The 22,404-nt window shown below is 38.1% G+C and overlaps 1 protein-coding gene across 2 annotated transcripts in view; it reads right to left on the bottom strand.

Moving 5' to 3' along the window:
- The window catches only part of FIG4 (FIG4 phosphoinositide 5-phosphatase), a 134,131-nt gene that overhangs the window by 19,287 nt on the left and 92,440 nt on the right, over positions 1-22,404 (bottom strand). For both annotated transcript variants that reach the window (NM_014845.6, XM_011536281.4), the window contains exons 17-22: positions 21,112-21,170; positions 19,691-19,838; positions 16,463-16,546; positions 14,569-14,764; positions 13,476-13,558; positions 9,289-9,375 (exon numbers count right to left, since the gene is read on the bottom strand). In NM_014845.6, the coding sequence (NP_055660.1) occupies positions 9,289-9,375; positions 13,476-13,558; positions 14,569-14,764; positions 16,463-16,546; positions 19,691-19,838; positions 21,112-21,170 (657 nt within the window). The remainder of the gene's footprint in view (positions 1-9,288; positions 9,376-13,475; positions 13,559-14,568; positions 14,765-16,462; positions 16,547-19,690; positions 19,839-21,111; positions 21,171-22,404) is intronic.

Below are 22,404 nucleotides of genomic sequence, written 5' to 3'. Positions count from 1 at the left end.
AAAACAAGTAAAAGCAAAATCTTTAGGCCAATAGGAATAATAATGAACAGATAAGCATGTGCAAAACAAAGTTACTGGGCTTAAGAAGCTTCAATATAATTTTATGTAGAGCTGTCAAAAAGACATCTAAAATTACATTTTTTGTTTTTTTCTATCTGTTAAACATTTACTGAAGCTTCTGAGATTATCAGAACGATTTTCCTAGCTCTATTCTATTATCAAAAATAAATGTATTTGAGCACACTAACTCTATTAAATGTACTTTTGTATTTTCAAGTCACATAATAAATGAGCTACCAATTTAGTTATTTATATTTTGAAATAAACCTAAAAGTTTTATTGTAAAAAAAACTAATACATTTCTCTGATATACAATGCTTAAAAAGCATGAATTGATTTTATTTTGACATTAATACATTTTTAACATGAAGAGTAAAACAAAATCGTTAAGAAAGTCAAGATGGTCTCAATTACTTTTCTGAATAAGGACAGGATACATTTTATTCAGACATTTCAGGATTTAATTAGGATTTTGGTGACATCACACATACGGAATAGAAACTGCAACCCTTTAGTAATGGATGTAAAACCATCTTATAAAGAGTTTTTTGCAAGTTAACAGAAAGTGGGTTTGAGAGGCAAGATTTTTAAGAATATAAAAATTTCTACTCTTTCCAAGTAAGATCAAACCACAATAGTTTTCTAAAATCATAGGATTCTAAAAGTAAGTTAAATATAAAAACAAAGCAAATCCTCTTTTAGAGCTTCATGTATTTGGAAACAATAGGCAAATGCAAATCAGGAAATCATGGTTCTTCTCCAGTTATGTTGATCAAGGGACTTCAAGAGCTAATTGCCTATGGGAGGAAATTCTCTCATTAAGAGCTTCAGACATTTGGTAGCAGTAGGGAATCTAAAAATCAGAAAACCATGGTCCCTTGTATCCTGTCCTTCTAACACAATGTGTAACTCAACTAATAAGGACTGGAGTAGTTTGTCAGTTGGGAATATCAAGGGATTCTGCTCAGAACTCTGAGCTGCTATACCTAAAACTGAAAATAAACCATAGTAAAGTAAAAACTTACAAATATTTATCATCTGCCTTGTCATTTGCTCCAATTTGTTAAACCTTGCATCTCTCCCTCACAATTACTGCATAAAATTCCTAAAAGAGGTAAAATTGTTGAATGCCAAATATTCCTCATTCATAATTTAATGTTATTAGTATCACGGTATGGACTGGGGATACAAAGACAGATGGGCCTTGCTCTCAAGAACTCAAAGTCTCTTTATATTAGTTTTAGATTAACAATACCACATAGTGGGTTCCATTTACAAGGACTTTCTGTTCCCATAAAATTGGGAGGGATAGCAGAAAGGTGTTTATAAAATATGAGCAGATCTTTAATTATGAAAATAGAATGCAATTGATTTCCAGAGTATGATTTCTCAAATTTCTTCATAAGACCCTAAGGAAAATAAGTAATAATATTAAAATACTTAACATGGAAAATTGCTTATATAATACTAAAAGATCTGTTGGTAAATTTTAAACACAATTTGGACTTAATGAAGTTTGTACTTTTTAAGGTTCTGAGTAACATGCAAAGGGCAGTGTGACTATATTTAAATATAAAATTGAAATGTGTTTTCTTGTATTTCAGCCAAAAGTTTATCTTAACTGAAAAGACTTCTAGTATATGCTCAGAGAAGACAAGGGCTATAAATACATCATACCTGGACACTCATCTTCATTGTACAAAAGGAATGGTTGTCAGGAAGCCACGGTGACACAGCACAAGGCTCAATAATCACTCCATCTGCCCCAAATCCTCCCACTCACCTTCCATACACAAAACTGATGATAATTTGGTAAACTAACAAAATATTAAAGGTTAAACCACTAAAAAATGTGGTTCTTGTATACAGAGCAAGGAAAACCAATGAGTAATACCCCTCATATGACCACATCAGATATCCAAATCTGCTCCCCCAGATTAACCTGCTTGCTCATGTAAAAGGTAAGAGTGTCTTATGAGACAAAAATACATTAAAAACCATAAAGTCTTCATCTCTATCAGTCATTAAAGAATGTTTTCCCTTTAATCTGACAAGAATCCTTAGAAAATGTTTAAACCACATATAAATAATCTATTTAACTTGGGCCCCTTTAGTTTAGAGAAAGTTAAAGAAATTTAACTTGCGATAGTTTGCTGAGAATGATGGTTTCCAGCTTCATCCATGTCCCTACAAAGGACATGAACTATCAAACACAGCATGTTCTCACTCATAGGTGGGAATTGAACAATGAGAACACTTGGACACAGGAAGGGGAACATCACACACTGGGGACTGTTGTGGGGTGGGGGGAGGGGGGAAGGCTAGCATTAGGAGATATACCTAATGTAAATGATGAGTCAATGGGTGCAGCACACCAACATGGCACATGTATACATATGTAACAAACCTGCACGTTGTGCACATGTACCCTAGAACTTAAAGTATAATAAAAAAAAAAGAAAAAAGAAATTTAACTTACTTGCTTTTTAAATCAATAGCCGAGAAAACCCAAATTATTGAATCTCTCTAATCTAAAACCACTTGAGGCCCAGACATATCATCTTAGGTTTCCCATTATTGTCTGAAACTCACTACCTTAGCCCCCAAACTTGCCCTTGTTGTATATTTGCTATCCTGGCAACTTGCCACTATAGCTGGTCAACCAAGCTATAAAACCCCTGGCCTCTCAAATATTCCTGAAACCCAATCCACTAACAAGTTTTGAGAAGACTTACAGATTCTACCTTTGTAAAAGAATACCCCATCTCTATTTCAACTGCCAACAGCAGACTCCAATCACTTTCTTGTCCTGATGTTTCCAACAGATATGTTGTTTATCGCCCTGCCTCTAATCCACTCTCCACACTACTTCCAGAGTGACCTTTCCAAAACGCAAATGTAAGCCTATCGCTCCCCTGATTAGAACAGAGCTTTTAGGATAAAGGCAATACTCTCTCCCTTAGCATCTCTTCCTGATCTTGTTTCTACCTGTCCCTTGGATTAAACACACAGAATTATGTATGGTTTTCCAAAAGTGGTGCAACAGGACCATCTCCCCATGTGAAGGGGGTACCTAAGCTCTGACATGAGCCCATGAAAGCTCTCGTTCGTGATATGCTTTGTACTCACCAAAATAAAACGGGCAATATGTTAAATTGTAAAAACAAAACAAAAAAAAAGGTTTTTTCATTTTGACTTTCAGCTGGGAGCTTCTTACTATTTTCTTCCCTCACATGCTTATCCCAGCTCCCAATTCACTGGAAATAATGGAAGCCTATTTTCCAAGGCCTGCATTTATTTTATCCACTATGGATGTATCACAGAAACCACTTACTCCTCTTCTCTTTTTCTAATTATCCCCAACAGGAGTCATTCACATGTCTTTCATTCATTCAACAAACAATAAGTGCCTAGATGCCAGGAACAGAGCTAAGTTTTCTAATTCTTGTGGATCCAGAAGAGATGCATTCATATAAATCCAAACAGTGAAGTCACTCACAGTAAGAAATACATGTTGCATGGCAAACTGGTACACACATGCTAAACTTTTGCACAGAAACACAAGTTTCATGAAACAAGACTTATTCATAATATGTGCCTTGTGGTCATACTTTATATTCAGTTCAGTGCTATTTCATTTCACTGCATAGGCCTACTAAATTAATTTCACAACTAATTTTCAGAATTGTCCGAAAAACACTGACCTAGAATATGTATGGCAGGAACTTGTGTTTGGGAGTAATTACTGTATTTTTTTAGAGCTATAAATACCCTGGAGGGGATACAGAAAGGACAGTGAGGGGGAAAGAAGAAAAGCGAAAGGAAGGCAAAAATAAATGGGGAGGGGAGAAAGAGGTAATTAGAAATAGAAAAGATATCTGGAAAAAGTCAGAGATGGGTAAAGGAAAAGAGAAAAGAAAGTAAATGTCAGGACGAAAGAGGAAGAAAGCCTATCTTGGTAATTCCTGGAGTGAGAGGAGAGGTCACATCCCAGTTTCCTTGGGCTGAGGAGCTCTTATCACTTATTATCTCCGCCTGTGGAGGGAATTAGCTGATTAATCACTGATCACTGCCTCCAAGCTGCTCTAATCCTTAAATGTTTGAAGACTGTATTCCAGGTGTTTGGAAAAGATAACAAGAATTATCCATTAAGGCAGAAATACTTATTCAGCTTGCTGCACAGAGACCACAGCAGTATCTACAAAGTTCCAGATGAAATCAATGGAGGTGGGAGGTCCTGGGTGTGACTTGTATGTGAAGAATGTGTTATTGAAAATTAACATCATGAAAAGTAAATGAAGTTGAGTTAATCATGGCCATTGTGTCATGCCCATCTCATCAGTGTGAAGAAGTGCTCTAATTCTGTGTAACAGCATGCTCTGATCTGTAAAACACTTCCCCTGGTAGAAGCCCACACCGAGGGGCATTCACCCAGTCTTGAATGAATACCACTTTTTACGAGAGATTCTTAGGGGATAAATGCAAGCGTATGGTCCTAAAACTGTAAGCGCACTTATTATTATTATTTTTTTGAGATGGATTCTCGCTCTGTAGCCCAGGCTGGAGTGCAGTGTCACAATCTCGGCTCACTGGAACCTCCACCTCCTGGGTTCAGGCAATTCTCCAGCCTCAGCCTCCCGAGTAGCTGGGATTATAGGCGCCTGCCACCTTGCCCGGCTAATTTTTGTATTTTTAGTAGAGATGGGGTTTCACCATACTGGTCAGGCTGGTCTCGAACTTCTAACCTCAGGTGATCCACCCGCCTCAGCCTCCCAAAGTGCTGGGATTACAGGTGTGAGCCACCACGCCTGGCCAAGCACACTAATTTACCCTGCATTACATGTCAGCTTATCCTGCGCTGGAAGAATCCTAAAATACATGGTATTTATACAAACTGTATTATATTTTGAACCATTTCTTAGAGGTGATTTTTAAATGAGACATATTCCTAGAATAGGTGAACCATAGAAAAGCAAGCACTAATGATATGTGTTCATGCCTTTTCAACCTACCACTGATTGGCTTAGTTAAAATCTCTCAAGAACTGGTAGGAGTGTAAAATGAGAACGTGTTGGTCTTGCACGAATATAGTGAATCACTGCCTGGCCCCACAGCACCTGCCTGCCAGGCACAGCAAGTCTTGCCACTCCAGTCCTTCTCACCTGGCATTTGGTCACAGGTGCAGTAGAGGCAGACTAAAGGGGAAAAAATGCTAACAACTTGGTGTGCTTATTTTTTTTCTCTCTCTCAGAAGGCAGTAGGGGAACAAAAAAGCAGGAGGGGCAAAGGGTTTATAAGGAAAAAACACAATAGAGAAAGAACTAAAAAGTGTTCAAGGATGCCCCCTTGAAAACCAGTGGGACATGGAGGGAGCATTCTAGGGATGCTCATGGGGCCTCAACCAGGCCCTGATGGTCATGGGTGTGATGGGGGATGAGAGTCAGTGCATTTCAGTAAATATTTACTGAGCACTCAATTTAAGTTACTGTTCTAGAGACACAAAGATGGGTTGCCCTCTAAAAATGTATAACCTTGTAAGATTACAATAATGTCAGCAACACTGTTCCAGTGGTGGCTAAACAACCTCCATGCCATGTTACCAAATCAGTCAAGCAAAGTATGCTTGCCCAGGAAACTTAAGTGTGTCTACATTAGGGACAGTATGCTAGGTACTGAGGAAAGAATAAAGGTATGTTCTCCTTAAGTATTTTTTAAAACTCAAGATCGACAGAGCAGAAATATTAGAATTTCTGAATATTTCTGAATATAGAGGTGTCTAAAAATCCAGGTCATGTCAGATGCCCAAAATGAGGTCTGTTAATGCTAATAATAAAGCATTGCTACCCCAGTGATTGGAAAGCAGCTGGCAACAACGGGCATTGATAGCTTAGTGATGGAGATCATGGGCTCTGGAGCCATCCTGTGTGGGTTTAAATCCTGGTTCCTCTACTTGCTAGCTGTATCACCTTGGGCAAGTTACATAACTTCTCTGTGCCTCAGTTTCCCCATCTGTAAAATGGAGATGATAATAAGATGTACTTTATAGGGTTATTGTGAGAACTTAGAACAGGCTATGGTACACAGAACAGTGCCCATCACACAGTGTGTTCGGTCAATGTTGGCTGATGCCCTTTCTCCCTGATCACCACCCCTACACTCAGGGAGTGGTTATGACTCACAGGGAGGGGTCCCACTCACACAAACTACAGCTTAGGGTGCCTGGGCTGACAGTACAGACATTGACCAGTTTGGGGTTTAACATCCACTTCTAAGCAAAGTCCTGCAAGACCGTGGTTGAAAGTGTCCAGCTGCCCATTCATGTCTCTGCACGCTCATTTCAAGAGCCCCTGTTCCACTGGCTTCTTGCCAATTATTTACTGTCAATATTTTTTACATTTGGTGTTATAAATATCTCATATTTAGAAAAGAAAAAAATGGTTTCTTCATGATTTCAAGAAAAACTGAGTAAGATTATGAACTATCCAGAGATGGGTAGATGCATATGTGTATGAACTTGAACTTATTATGACTCTTAAATATACTAGAAAATAAAACATAGCAAGAGGAGAATTTCAAGAATCCCAAATAAATGTAATTTCTCTTGGTTTGGACATAGCTTTAGAAATCTAAAAATGAATAGTCGACATTTTAAGAACCTGACTACAGTTTCAATTTAAAGCACGTCCCTGTGCACACGTGCGTGCACACACACACACCCCAAAAACACCAAAAACATTCTTGGGCAGTTGCCATGACAATGTAATGCTGAGCTACCAAGCTCTTTGTTATCTTGCTGAAGATGCTGTGTAAAAACACCATTATGACAGATTCTTTACTAATTAAGTGGAAAAGGTTAAAGAATTCTAGATCCACGTGGTTTTCATCTGTGCTAGGACTCACAGGCAAATACTAAATATTTTAAGAAAAAGAATGCACAAGTAGTAACTGTAAGATCAATTACAGATCAAATCAGAAATAATGTTAAGAAAACGGGGGAAATGTTTTGTTTTTATTTTGTATGCTATGTTCATTTCATCATCTCCTCCTAAGTTGTATCATATTATTTTAGTGGAATAATCACTTTGTATAATACAATTTGGTTAATAGAGTCTCTTATTTTACTAGCACATTTAAATAGTTTCCTTCCTTGGACATATCTATTTCAATTCATTTGAGAGCCCATAGTTCCATATGCTAAATAGTTATAACAACACAAAGTGGTCTCTAAATTAATAGGGGCTTATATGCCAAACAAAAAAAAAAGAGGAAAAAAAGAAAAAATAGTGTTGGGGAGAGAAAGAAGGATAAACAGCATTTTTGAAGGCTGTGATAAAATATGGTCTGGGGTTCTTTCCACTTCTCTGATTAGCCATCTCTGTTTCCCTTGCAGGTTTTTCTATGTCTCTGTCTCAGCCATTAGACCCAGATCCCTGCCAAGATCAGCTGCAGACTGTTCTCACTGTAGTCTCGCTTCCTAGGTAGTCTCATCCTTAACTTATCCTTGACTTTCATTATTACTCATGAGCATTTACATCCCCAGCCCAGGTTCTCTTCTGAGTTCCAGATTGGTTGATCCAACTGTCTCCTAAACTTCTCCACTTTGATGCTACATTAAAGGCAAACCAGGTCCTCTTGCAGTGCTCCTAACCTCAGTGAATGGCAGCTTTAAATGGTCCTAACACAGACATATTCAATACCTATGTGTTGAATGAGTAGGCAAATGAATGCATGAATCAATCAAAACTGTTACACAAACCAAAAAACCTAAGGGTCATCCTTAATAACACCCTCTTGTTCCCCACTCTCTGAGTCAGGATCCAAGTTCTGTCCATTTCACCACTTAAGATTATTTTCCAGATCCATCCCATTCTCAAAATCCTCACAGCTACTACTCTCTAAAAGGCTTTTGCTGTATTACTGTAATAGTAATTACTATGAGCCATTACTAATAGTAATTACTGTGAGCCATCAATTAAGAACCTGCAGATGTGAGACACAGAGAAGTTAGGCAATCAATACCTATTCAAATAAACAATTAATTGATCAAACTGATAAAACTGATCTAAGAAAACGGAAGAGAACATTTACTAAATGTCAAGTGTATGCCAGACACTGATCTAGATGCCTCACATATACTACCTCACTGAATTTCCACAGTGACTCATTTTTTTTTTTTTTTTTTTGGAGATGGAGTCTCACTCTGTCACCCAAGCTGGAGTGCAGTGGTGCAATCTCAGTTCACTGCAACCTCCGCCTCCCGAGTTCAAACAATTCTCCTGTCTCCACCTCCTGAGTATCTGGAATTACAGGCACGCACCACCATGCCCGGCTAATTTTTGTATTTTAAGTGGCCACCGGGTTTCATGATGTTGGCCAGGCTGGTCTCAAACTCCTGACCTCAGGTGATCCACCCATCTCAACTTCTCAAAGTGCTAGGATTACAGGCGTGAGCTACCATGCCCCGCCCACAGTGACCCATTTTATGGAAGCAACTCAACTGAGCATACGGCATCAGGGAGCCTCTTCTGGTCACAACCCTTTGCTTTGTTAGGTCCCAACAAGCAGGCAATAATGATGAATATGAAGAGGATGATGATGGTGATCACAACTATTTCAGAACGTATTCTAGACACTACTCTAAGCACTTTGTGTACATTATTTCATTTGAGTCTCATCACTGTCCTACAAAGTAGGTGTTATTATTCCCTTTTGCAGATGAGGAAACTCAACAACACAGCAGTTAAGTCATTTGCTCAAGGTAAAAAACTGGGAAGTAGTATGATTTGAACATAGTTCCGTTTATTTAAGATTTCACAAAACACCTGTTTAACTTACAGCAAGTTATTAGAACTGATGGGGATATACAGCTAGAAGAGACAAATCGATCCATATCCTCAAAGGTCTTGTATTAAACTTGAGCATGTCTCCAGGATCAGAGCTGTTTCACCATCCCACTTCTACCCAGTGGAGGGCAGAGTTCATGGTTGGAAGCCTCCAACAATGCCAAACCCACCTCCAAAGATGCATTTCAGGACCATTAGGGCTGCCAACCTCTTCCCTATCCCTCAGAGACCCAGTTTTCCTCAAGTAAGGTACCACAAGGAGACACTTTGGTGCTTATACTAATTTGGTGACAAGAGTGAATCTTTTTCTTAAAAAGTCTTTAAAGAAAGCCCTATGAGTGGCATGAATACAAAGATTTCTTTAAAGATCTAATCTAGTACTTACAGTTTTATAACTCCATCTGAGCACCTAGAACAGGGCTGCTGGCTATTCTTGTCTTGTTTATGTTGACTCTGCCCCAGCTGAACAAATCTACAAATTACAATGGATAAGAGTCAGCTAAAGAAGGGAGTACTTGCAATTAATTCAGTAGATCACACAAAATGGTGTAAGCTTTCAAATTTCAGTAGTATGCTTATTTCAGAAAAACACCTAAGAGTACTGTATGTAACATAAGACTTTGCCTGATTTTAAAGTGGGCTTGTTAAAAGTAGGAAAAGGGATTCTACTTAAAATGTAAGTCATAACCATGGATAAAAGAATGAAATCAAATGTGCATGCCATTGAACTTCTATTAATTTAAACATGGTGCAGAACTTGAACAGAAATGTTCCTGAAGCCAGGAAGATGATCTTGCAGAGCCTCACACATCTAAGGGTGACAAATATCTAATGCGTGGAATGCAGGAAGCATGGGGGGAAGCATGCAGGATGGTGCTGGCAGTGAGACAAGTGACGTGGAAAGGGCAGGATCAGGCTGGGGATCCACCTCCTGAAGCAGGGACACTGCTAAGAGCCGGCCACAGACTAGGTTTCCTCTGGACCACAAGAATCCCCCCACCAAGTACTCTAGCCACTTCAAAGAGGAACACTTTCAACCAAGGTTGGGGAGACCCACTGATGAGCACAACGGCCATATGACCTCTTCTGAAAGGTCTTGAACAGCACTTCTCAGACTTGAACAGCACTAAGGCAGGCTTTGAGCTAAGAGCCAGAGGAAATGGCCTGGGCCAACTCAGCAGGCAGAGAGGATACCCAGCAGCTTTCTGGAGTGCATATCTGCTGGAAGCCTGCTTGGACTGCATGGATCTGTCTTTCCTTCAAGGATACGGTTTTGTAGTTTTGTTCTAATTTGCCCATGGGAGGTTACAGGGCAGGTCTGAAGAACTGATTTCCAGGCCACGCGCAGTGGCTCATGCCTGTAATCCCAGCACTTTGGGAGGCCGAGGCAGGCGGATCATGAGGTCAGGAGATCGAGACCATCCTGGCTAACACGGTGAAACCCCATCTCTACTAAAAACACAAAAAATTAGCTGGGCATGGTGGCATGCACCTGTAGTCCGAGCTACTCAGGAGGCTGAGGCAGGAGAATTGCTTGAACCCATGAGGCGGAGGTTGCAGTGAGCCGAGATCATGCCATTGCACTCCAGCCTGGGTGACAGAGAGAGACTGTCTCAAAAAAAAAAAAAAAAAAAAAAAAAAGGACTGAAACCAAAAGAACAGATTTCCTTATTTCCTTTCCATTTTTTTAACTACTTAAAAGTATTTTCTTTGAAGACTATGGAAAAGTTTACCATTTGTTTTTCATTAGCTTTTTTAAAGGTCAAGAAAGTGTTACAGAAACTACCAATTATTGTATCATTACAGTGCTAAAGAAAAACTTTCAAACAGCTTACTTTTATCCAACTTTATATCTTCAGCAAGTAAAAAATGTTGATCCATTTTTTGGGAAGAATGCCACATAGTACTGATTATTTGTACAGAACTTTAAACTTCTTAAATCAGGTGTACAATCACTGCCAGAGTTTTCTAAAAACTGGCAAGTGTCGGGAGGCTGAGGCAGGAGAATGGCGTGAACCCCGGAAGCGGAGCTTGCAGTGAGCCGAGATTGCGCCACTGCAGTCCACAGTCCCGCCTGGGCGACAGAGCGAGACTCCGTCTCAAAAAAAAAAAAAAAAAAAAAAAAAAAAAAAAAAAAAAAACTGGCAAGTGTATGAAGCTTTGAGGAAGTAAGTAGAAAGCTTTCAGGTCTGGTAAAATAGCAAACCAAAGATACTAGAAAAGGTGAGGGAAAAGGAAGACATAGACAGCGGGGCTCAGCAATTAGAAAAAAACTACAAAACCGAGAAATCCTTAGGCGTCCAAAGGTGGGCAAGGCCTAAGGTAGGAAAAACAGGCAGAAGAATGGGAAGCTGGAAGACAGGCTGCGGAAACCACTTCTAGCTGTGTGGCTTCCCTTCTCCACTGGTTCTGTGATAGGCCAGGTGGGAGCTGTTACATGCAAGCCAGGCTAGGTCACTGTCTACTATGTGCACAAACATAGCCAGCCAACTGAGTGCAGAAACGGGGTGGCAGGGGCACCTGCCAATTCAGCGCAGAACTACCTGGGCTCTAGCCCTGCCTTGAAACTCTCCCCTTTGGATCAGAGGAGGCACTAAGAAAGCTCCAGAGCCTAGCTGAGCCAAAAGTGGGTGCCAATCAGTCCCTGAACATCCCTTGGTCACCCTCTGGCACAGTTACCCCACAGATACTGATGGAGGGAGGATTCCTCTGCCTACTGCAATGCCCATGGCAGATGGAGAGGGGAGATATTCCAGGGCAGGCAAGGCAGTAAGGGCAGTGTGCCCACAGGAAGGGGTACTCACAGGGAAAGAATGATCAGCCCCGTTTCTCCCCTTCCCCCAAGGTCTGCATCATAAGCAGAGGCAGCTGATTATGATCAAGAGAACAAAAAGGAGGGAACAGCCTAAAATCCCACGGTACCCAGAAACACAGGATATGACTCCTGGATAAGGCACTAAATGGCTCTACTTGCTGCGCTATTAGCCCATAAAAGGGGATAATATCTTTTTAATCTACTACAGAATTGCCTAAAGAACAAACAAAACAGTGTAAACTGTTATACAATGAAAGGAGGTATTATCTTCAGAATATCAAACACAGAATTTTATTCTAGGACATGGGTTCCTCCCTCCCCTGAAGTAACCCCTTCAATCCTTGGCACATACACTCATTCCCTCTGCAATAAACAAAGTCATATTACTCAGTCAGTAACTTCAGATAATTCATTCTTCAGGCCACATGGTTTGTAAAGGCCCACTTCAACTACTACAGAGTTTGGCTACAGAGTTCTGACAGCCATGATGAATAAGTACTGTGTGTTTGTGTGTCAGAGTGAGGAGGGTGTGGCTGTGCTCTGATGACTAAATTGGCTTCCAGTCAATGACGCATATTCAAAAAAGTGCAAGTTACAGGAGCTGCTTTGGCAGTCAGGAAATGCTGTGCATTTTATATTTTATATATTATAGAGTAGTTTTTATTAATTGAAATGAAAAGCTGACAATATCTAATTCAATGGATTCTGTAAATGAAATGCCCTCATTTAAAAATAACTGAAGATCAGTGCTCATTTTATATTATACAATTTACATTTTACAGACACATTTACAAATTTGTATAAGTGGAACTGTATTCATATGCAATAATCAAGTCTTCTAAATCCATGTATTAAGCTGAGGAGGTGTTTGCAATGTTCTCATCAGGTTCGTGGGGATTTCTGAGTGAAGGATTCTTTTGAGAATCTGCTAAATCTATCTTCTCAAAAGGACACACATACACACGAAATTATGCACATGATTTCAGGGAATGCCTTATGGGTATCCCCTCCTTTCAACTAGATTTGCCTAATAAAGGCCTATAACATTGTGAATTAGCACCCTATTATTACTGTTTTCTTTTTCCTCCTCAGTCACCACTCCCACCAGCATCCAGGACCTAAAGTGATGCAAGGTCCTCATTTGTCAATATCCCAGATTTATTTTGTGAGAAGGGACTTTGATCTTGAGGATTTAGAAATGCAGGAATGTACTGGTACTTTGGTTTGTAGTTTACATATGAGCAGTGCAGATACCTGCATGCATCATAAATTTTTATCATTGAGGGGCAGAGTCTCAGGCATTTAGCACTTTAACTCTGTATATAAATCAATGTTTCAGAATTTGACCGCCTCAATGCTGAAACTGCATTTTAAGTGGAATTCATTTTCTTCTGTATTGCTGACTATTTTCATTTCTTAAAAGTTATATTAGGCTGGACGCAGTGGCTCACACCTGTAATCTTAGCACTTTGGGAGGCTGAGGTGGGCGGATTGCCTGAGCTCAGGAGTTTGAGGCTAGCCTGGGCAACACAGTGAAACCCCGTCTCTACTAAAATATAAAAAATTAGCCAGGCATAGTGGCGTGCACCTGCAATCCCAGCTACTCAGGAGCCGAGATCATACCACTGCACTACAGCCTGGGCAACAGAGCAAGACTCTTGTCTCCAAAAAAAAAAAAAAAAAAAGGTATAGTAGTTAGAAGTTACTGTAATTATAAATATTCATTTTTCTTTAATATCTACATGAAAGTATCTCACCTTGAATAAATGGAGAAATCTTCTTCTGAGAGGCCATCTGAGAGGTTAATTCCATATAGCTCCTTCATGGGTTGGACCACATTCTGGGGTTTAAAAAAAAAAAAGAAGAACCAGGAAGAATTTTTAGACATATAGCATATCAATAATTTCCCCAAAAAAATGAAACTGTGAATTTTTCCACAAAAGCAATCACAGTGCTTCTTTAACCTGTTCATTAAACTTCTTAGTTGATGGTTTTAAAAAATTTTGATTTCCATTTCTGCTAAAAATAGTTTATTCTAGGATTTTAAAAAGCTGTTAAATAATTACTAGGTGTTTTTGTATAATGCAGGAGTTGGCAACCTTATCCTGTAAAAGGCCAGATAGCAAATATTTTAAACTTTTTTGGGTTATGCTGTCTCTGTTGCAAATACTCAGCTCTGCTGTTATAGTGCAAACGTAGTCACATACAATGAGTAAACACAAACAGGCATGGCTGGATTCCAGTGTAATTTTATTTACAAAAAAAGGCATCAGGCTGGATTTGGCCAATATGTCATAGTTTGCCAACTTCTGGAACATGGATTTAGCTCTTGTATTAACACATTTTTATTTGCCTTATCCATTTCTAAATGAGTTTTGGATATTTCTAGAAATCAAATTTCCCCAAAGCTAGAGTTGGTCCTTTTGTTGCTTATTTCTATTTGTTTCCCCCAATCTATCAGTAATATTGAATTGAACAGGATGAATTTCCCATTGCAGCCATTCAAAGATTGTGAAGGCCACGTCTAAATCCTGTGATCCAACAATGTGCCCAGTAAGAGAATAAATGGACCTCAAGCGGATGGGCTGATCAAAGAGGGCCAGAATTCACTTGAAAATTCTGAAAGGATCAGAAATTCACCATTACACATGCGAGCAAAAACACCAATTTTATTTTGAAATGAAATAAAATCATGTAAATGCTAAATGTATTCATCTTATGCAGTGCCTCAAACACAACAGTGAGATAATGTGACATTTTCTTGCTCTCAGCCTTTTAACTGAAAGCGGAGTTGTAAAGATCATTTTCCAGGGCTTCAGGCTGGATGCCACAGGCTTCCCTCCCCCGCACCTCGGTCACTTTGGCACTGTCTCCTGCATCAGTCATCTTCACGGGAGTGGAGCGCTGAGACACAGAGCCCTCTTCTTCCCGATCAGTCCCAGAGTCATCCTCAGAGCTGCTGGACACAGCCTCCTCGCTGGGGGGCGGCGGGGCGCTGGCTGCCGTTTTCCGCTGTAATACAGCTTCTTCTCTATTGCTTTTGTTTCTTTTAAAAGAATAATATGGAAGTGAAGCATCTTTAAACTAACCCTCAACACCCACTGTCTATCACTCTGTCCCAAAGCCTTAGGCCTAGTGAAGCATAAGAAAATGACTGTGACACTAGTTTCTGGATTCAGGTTGTGCTACAGGGAAAAGGTTCATATTTCTCCATGTCCATGCACTGACCTTATATGAATATAAGCCCTGTTATAAATTCAAAAAATAAATGAAAATTACTTGCAGAGCGTGAAAAAATCTTCTCACCACTTGGTTACCATGCCTTCCTTTGGTAACTGATATCAATATTCTCAAAACTTACCCTACAATTATAGAAGACTGTATGTTTGGGATATTATTAAAATTAGCTGTAACTCATAAAAGGTCCAAGAAAAAGTGGGTAGCCAAACCTATGTATATTTCTCTCCCGCCTATAAATTTTTTATCAATCATAGTGTATCCAAATAATGAACAACTGATGAACATAAACTACATTTTAAATTTTATTGTGTTATTAGTAAACAAGTGTATTTGCTGAACATTCCCTTTAATAGTAGGGAATAGAAGGGGGGAAAACCCTACACTTATAAAAGTATTTACTTTCATTTTAATGCCAAATTGGAAGAGTAGTAAGAATGCTGTTTTTTAAATTCAGAAAACCATTTATAGTAATACTTTTTGCTTTATGAAAAATGTTTAATATTTCACTCTTTAAAAAATTCTCTATAAGGAGCTAAAAATACCATAATATTTTGAAATGTTCTAGGAAAGGAAAATGCAATTTTATGTGACCATGGGTTAGATATTGCAGAAAACAAGCAGTCTCTGACCTTTTGCAACTAAAAATTAAAGTTGGTAACGTTTCTGTGACACACACTAATATAGCTGGTCATTTACTTATTTGTTCTGGGAATTCCCTGAATTCCAAACTCCTGAAGACCTTCCTTCTTTTAAATTCCTCATAGCATCTGGTCAGGGCTTAACATGAGCTATTTAAAGGCTACATATAAAAGCCACAGAAATAGTGTTTCTGGAAAATATCAATATATGTCCCATTGGATAAATCACACATAGCTAGAATACAATTAAGATTCCATACAATTAGGACTCTGTATCTGCAGTCTGGCTGGGGTATGTGGCCAGAGTCTAGAAGAAATCTGTCACTGAGACTAGGCAGGTCAGTGGAAGGGAAAGAGGTTCTCATGCCAGGAAACAACACATTTCACTCCAGTCTCTTAAGCATGAAGATGCAAACACAGTATATCTTCTTCTTTACTGGACTGAATAAAATAATAGTCTTCCCCCAAATAATGTTATAGCAATGCACAGAAAAATCTATTAAGTTCCGTAACAGGGTATATTTGCTTTTATGTTACTGAGGATGCCAACAAAATAAATATAATAAATACAAATTTTTACTTAACTATTTCATGTTGGGAAACAGAGAATGCTGAGTTATTTATAAGACATCATATCTGTCACCTGCCTTTATGTCATCTGTTATATTCCCAATTTAAAACAATAAAATGCACTGTATTGCTGAAACTCCCATAAATTCTACTTTCAGTATTGAACACCTTAGTGATCCCAGTGTTATTAATAAACTATATATGACCTGAAGTTATTAGTTTTTGGTGGAAATCATATTGCAAGTACTATTCTTTTACACAAATCTTTAAAGTTTCGTTCTATACACAAATCTTACCCCAATACTGATTTTCCAGTTTCATCTGGTTTACGCACAGTAAATGGACTTGGATCAATTCCAACGGTCTTAGGCATAAAGTCACTAAAGAAAGGTGAAAACACAATTACATATGAATTACTGTCCATCCAGATGATATTGGCTTCCATCTCAGTTCACACTCTTACAATATTCCTTCTTAACTCTAGGAGTTACATATTACATATTCTGAGCCAACTTGTCAGGGACATAAAACCATGAATTAACAGCACTAGATAATTTCAATGTTATCAGTCTTAATTGTGAATTCTCTATGATCACGAGGCCCAATAGGGACATAAAACCATTAATTAACAGCACTAGATAATTTCAATGTTATCAGTCTTAACTGTGAATTCTCTATGATCACAAGGCCCAGTAGTTTTGAATTTAAGTATCATCTACTATAACAGTGTTGACATCTGAACTTCTGCTAAGATGTATACCATCTGGTTAATCTGGTTATATATCATGATTAGTTCTCAGGTAAAATTTAAATTCCTAAAGGCCAATGACAAAACACTAAGCTGTTCAGTTTCATGGACAACATTTTTAAGCTATACCACCTAAGGAGGTAGACATAATGATCAAAAACACAGTGGTATGAACTGAAATACCAACATCTACCTCATTAGGCTGAGGTTAATTCATTAAAACACTGCCGGAACACTTTAAATAGAAACTCTTTTAATTTACCACTTACTGAGATAAGCTAAAGCTTCCACATTATGCAAAGGCCACCTCACCATTACTGCTGAAGCCAGACCAGATTCCACAGTAGATGCCAAAAACGCAACAGTTCCAGGATTTCTGATGGATAAGACTCCTGGCTTCTGGCAAGGACACTGCTCCAAGCGTGTGACTGAATATCACATTATTTGAAGGAAAAGAAAGTAATCTTGATTCTGGCCTAAAATAGCTATTTTAACATTTGCAAATGTTTCAAAGATGTAACTGGCTTAAATTCTTTTCTTTTTGAACATACACAATTGATCGTTTTCATTTGCACATTCCATGTTTGTGAGACTGCTTGCTCACTAAGGTGTATCTGTAACCCCCAAATCAATCCTCGTGGTACTTTCACAGTCACTGCAGACATGTGCATGTACAGAGTGGTGAAAACTTTGAATCCCTTGCTTATGTTCTCAGCTGAGGCTGAACAAGGGGTACTCCGCTTCTTAATTTCTGCTCTCCTATCGTAAATGAGTGTCTTTTTCACAGTCTATTTGACACCATGTTTTTCACATTTTTGGTGCCTTTTTTGGTGATCTTGCTATTTAAGATGGTCCCCACACATAGTGCTGAAGCTGTTTAGTGTTACTAAGCACAAGAAAGCTTGGATGCACCTGACAGAGAAAACATGTGTGTTAGATAAGCTTCATTCAGGCATGAGCTATAGTGCTGTTGGCCATGAGTGTTATGTTAATAAATCAACAATATACAGATGCTCCTCAACTTAGAATGGGGGTTACATCCTGACAAACCCATAGTAACTTGAATATGTATTTAGTACACCTAACCTACTGTACATCATAGCTTTGTGTAGCCTACCTTAAAAGTGCTCAGAACATTTACATTAGCTTATGGTTGTGCAAAGTCATCTAACACAAAGCCTGTTTTATAGTAAAGTTATTATAAAGAATTTTGAATCAAAATTCAAAATTCGAAGAACAGTTTCTAGCTAATGCATGTAACTTTTGCACCATTGTAAAGCTGAAAAATCGTAAGTTGAATCATTATAAGGCAGGGACTGATTGTATATTAACTACGTTTCTGTCTTTAAACAAAAACATACACAAAACTAGGTTATGTATTGATTGGTTGACAAATATGATGTGACCAGAGGCTCTCAGGAACCTAACCCTGTATTTCCCTTAGAAGCAATGGTCCAGTATTTACTAATTCAGTGTTTGCAATGACTTTATAGAACACAGCTACCACAAACACAATTAACTACAGTAAGTCCTCACTTAATGTCATTGATAGGTTCTTGGAAACTATGACTTCCAGTGAAACAATGTACAGCAGGTCCTTAAATAATGTTGTTTTTTCCGACATCATTTCATTTAAAGTCAGTTTCCAAGAAGCTGTCAAAGATGTGAAGTGAGGGTTTATATGTATATGAACACATATACCTAATGTCATTTATCTTTTGCTGAGTTAACAACTTCTAGAAATGACAAAGGTCTCATAGTTAAAACTGCTAAACCTTAACAAGTTTACTTGAAAAATCAAGCAAGTAAGAATTTCGAACTGTTCCTAACTATCTGAAACTGAAGCAAAATGTAGAGTGATTTCTAGGAAACAAAACCACAGAATATGTTTCTATGTACCACACAAAGTATAAGCATATAAATACCACATCTGAAGAAAATGTGAAATATAAAAAATTAAATTTTAGTATAAAATATAACAAGTAATTTTCTTTGCTCGATTTTCTTATTCTGGTCCCAGCGTTTTTCCTAAAGGGTCCCATCAAATTCTAAAAGAGATACAGAGAATGAAATGTGTCTGAAGGTGAGAGACTAGGATGGAGAGAGAATGGAAACCATGCCACATAAGTTATGGAAGAACAAATGAAGGATATTTACCCTGAAAAAATGAATACTGCTTCCTCAAATATCTTGAGGCAAAAGAGAAACTAGATTTGTCCTATGACTAATAATAATAGTAATAATAATAGCTACCATTTATCAATCACCTGCCTGTACCAGGCACTACAAAGGCACTTGCGGGGCGTGTGTGTGTGGGGGAGAGAGAAAGAAGAGAGACAGAGAAAGACAGATTAAGAAAATAATGCTCAGGTAAGTTGGATAATTTTCCCAAGGTCACACAGGAAGTGGCTGAACTAAGATTCACATCCTAGCCTTTCTAGTACCAAAGATGATGCTTTTCCCACTAATTTATGTCAACTCTCAATTTCTATGTTCAGTGAAAAAACTGAGTTTATTCCAAATGGCAAACTAGGACTAATAGGAGGCAGATTTCAACCTATCAAAGGGGAGAAATCAACTCCAACTGTCAATAGAACAATAGAAGGGGCTGCCTCTTGAAGTAGTGGGCTCCCCATCACAGGAGGTATTCAAAGGTGGACTACCCACCTGACAGAAGGCCTACAGAATGGATTTCTGGTAAAGACAGACATATATATACAAACTAGGAAAACTACAGTTCTCAAATACTTATGGTATCAGAATACACACAACATACCGTGCTGAGCTTGTCATAGCCAAGCAAAAGGTATCATCAAAGCTGCTCAACTCATATGGCCGAAAGAACTCATTGTGGATATCAATCTCTTCTTCATATTTGTGGAATTTCTTCACTATCAACTTCTTTAAGTTCACAGCACAGATAACTAAGAGAGATACTGCATGTTACTCTAAAAGTCTGAGATTATAGCAAGCAAACATTTCCATAATATTAACTGTGTTCACAGACAGCACTGTGATAAGCTCTGTGGGGGATACAGCCCTGACCGAGGGTAAGCTCCTGCCTCCAACACTTACACAGTTAGAAAGGAGATGAGATAGATGCATAGAAAATACAATGCAAAGCTGAGTTCAACAAGCTCTAAGGAGCCAGGAGGGCCTCAGGAAGTCCAATGGGAGCAGGCAGTTATTTAGAGGAGGTTCTTTAAATTCCTTTTTGCTCTTAAATAAATGCCCTTTGTGTTTTAGCTAAAAATTGTACAGCTTTTTCCCTAAGTTTCCCTTTATATTTCAAATTCTGTTAATAGCCACTGTTAGTTAAAACCCTTTCCTTTCTCCCAGAACAACTAAACCTTTTCAGCAATATGAGTAATGATTTTGCCCAGAATTTCAAGTTACAAATACCTTCCAAAATGAATTTATAACTTAATAAGAACCAAAAATACTTTGTAATCTTACTTTATGGCCTTCCCCACCCAAAGTTGGGATGCTGAAGCATGACTAGATGGAGTCCTCAATTGGAGCATTCCAGATTCGCAGGAGATCTTGCTAGGAACCCTTTACCAAATGGAAAATGAGCTTGCTCAAGGTCAGGGGAGTTAGTAACAAAGCCAGAACTAAGCTTTATTTAAAATTTGGCAATTATTTAAATTTGGAAACATCATTCTAATGTATTATACACTTGAAGGTTTTCCTTTAATATAGAATGTTTCCTGCCCCTCTGACAAATTAATGAAATTTAATTTAAATGTGACTAAAATGTACTTTTATACATGCATCTGTACCTTTTTTCACTGCTTATTAGCACAGGAAAAAAGTTTTAAGTTCTCCTTGTGAATAGGTCCTTACTTCCTCCGCATTCTCCCAAAATATGTAGAAATATAAACTGTATTAGTTTAAAGTGATGAGCCGATATATCATATTTTACTGACTAAATATTTGACAGACACATAATAATTGTAAGACACAATACAAGGTATTGGCCTACATAGATAAAAAGAAGTATAATATAATTCCTGCCCTTTAAAAAGCTAAGAGATGTTATAATATCCTATCTATTAAAGCAGCAACATAATACTGAACAGCCATTCATTTGTTTCTAATAAAATACTATGTGCAAAGGATTTAATGCTTCAAGTTCATTAAGGTATAATGCCAAAATATGTTAGTGTAAAAACTAAAACACAAACAGTTACCTACCTTCATCATAGGGCAATGGTAAATGCTTTATCACCTCTGGTGTCCACCAGTAAGTATAACTATAAAATAAAAATTAAAAAAAAAGATGAACCAAATGTAAATGTTGGTTTTCTAAAATTTACTGGATAAAATAATTTATATGGTCTATAGTAACATGTTCCTACTTCAAAGTTAATATTTTTCTTTTTAAAACATGTTTGCAAAGCTTTTGACACAGTAGGTCTTCAACATGGTAATTCCCTTCCCAACTGCTTTCTTCCTTCAACTATGTTGCAGATCTACAAAAATGCCATGAATACACCTGAGAGTCAAGATGCTCTGATATTATTTACTTTTAGCTAAAAAGGATTAGAAGGTAATAAGCTGACTCTATGAACTGCTGTTAACTTCTCCCAGGGACTGTGCCTACAGTGACTTACTCTGCCACCAGGTGAGTAGTGGGACCTTGACCCAAGTCCTACAACCAGGATTCCCTTGCGTGTAGTTATCTGATAGTTAGAATCTACTCTGCTGTATAGTACACACCTGTGTGTATAGTTAAAACAGTTAAGCAAAATCATTAAGGAACGAATTAGACAGTCCTAACGAACAAGTTCCCTTAGAAAGCAGTATAGACCGTTATTCTTTAACTGTAAATATGTGCTACTTGATTACAGAAGCTAGTCAGAGTAAGAGTAAAGAATGTCACCTGTCTGGATTTCTGCTAGAAGGCTCGTCTGCTATAAGCAAAGAATCTGAAAGAATCCTAAGTGGCCTTCTCTCTGAACACCTAATTTAATTCTCAATCAAATTCTAATGAAATGAATATTTAGAGGAAAAGGATATATGTCAAAGTTCATGAGAGCTAGGAAGGAGAAGAATTTTTTAAAAATCAGATTTCTAAAGATTAAAAAAAGAGCCTATAGCCAAAAATTGCTAAAAAGAGATTTTAATATAAATGAAAGGCTTTCTAAAAATATAAAGCTGAAATTACAATCTTGAATAATCCTGATTATGAAGCAACAGGAAAGTATCCAAATGAAACTGGCAACACAGGGAACTCTCCTAGGGATGGCAAGCAGAATACACAACCACTAATGATGAAAAAAGGAATATGAAGCCTAATGAATTGTGTGGGGCAAATCACTGTTCTAACAGGAAAGGTTCCTAAAGTTTTGTTTTAGACTGAAGTTATGCTTTACAGCAGTGCTATTCAAAATTCAATGTGCATGTAAATCACTTTGGGATCTTGTTAAAAGGCAGATGATTCAGTAGGTGGGGCCTGAGATTCTGCCTCTATGACAAACTCCTGAG

Source organism: Homo sapiens, chromosome 6 (genome assembly GCF_000001405.40).
Source record: "Homo sapiens chromosome 6, GRCh38.p14 Primary Assembly".
NCBI lineage: Eukaryota > Metazoa > Chordata > Mammalia > Primates > Hominidae > Homo > Homo sapiens.
The sequence above is the reverse complement of the archived record's forward strand: the minus strand, read 5'-3'. Positions and strand labels throughout refer to the sequence as shown.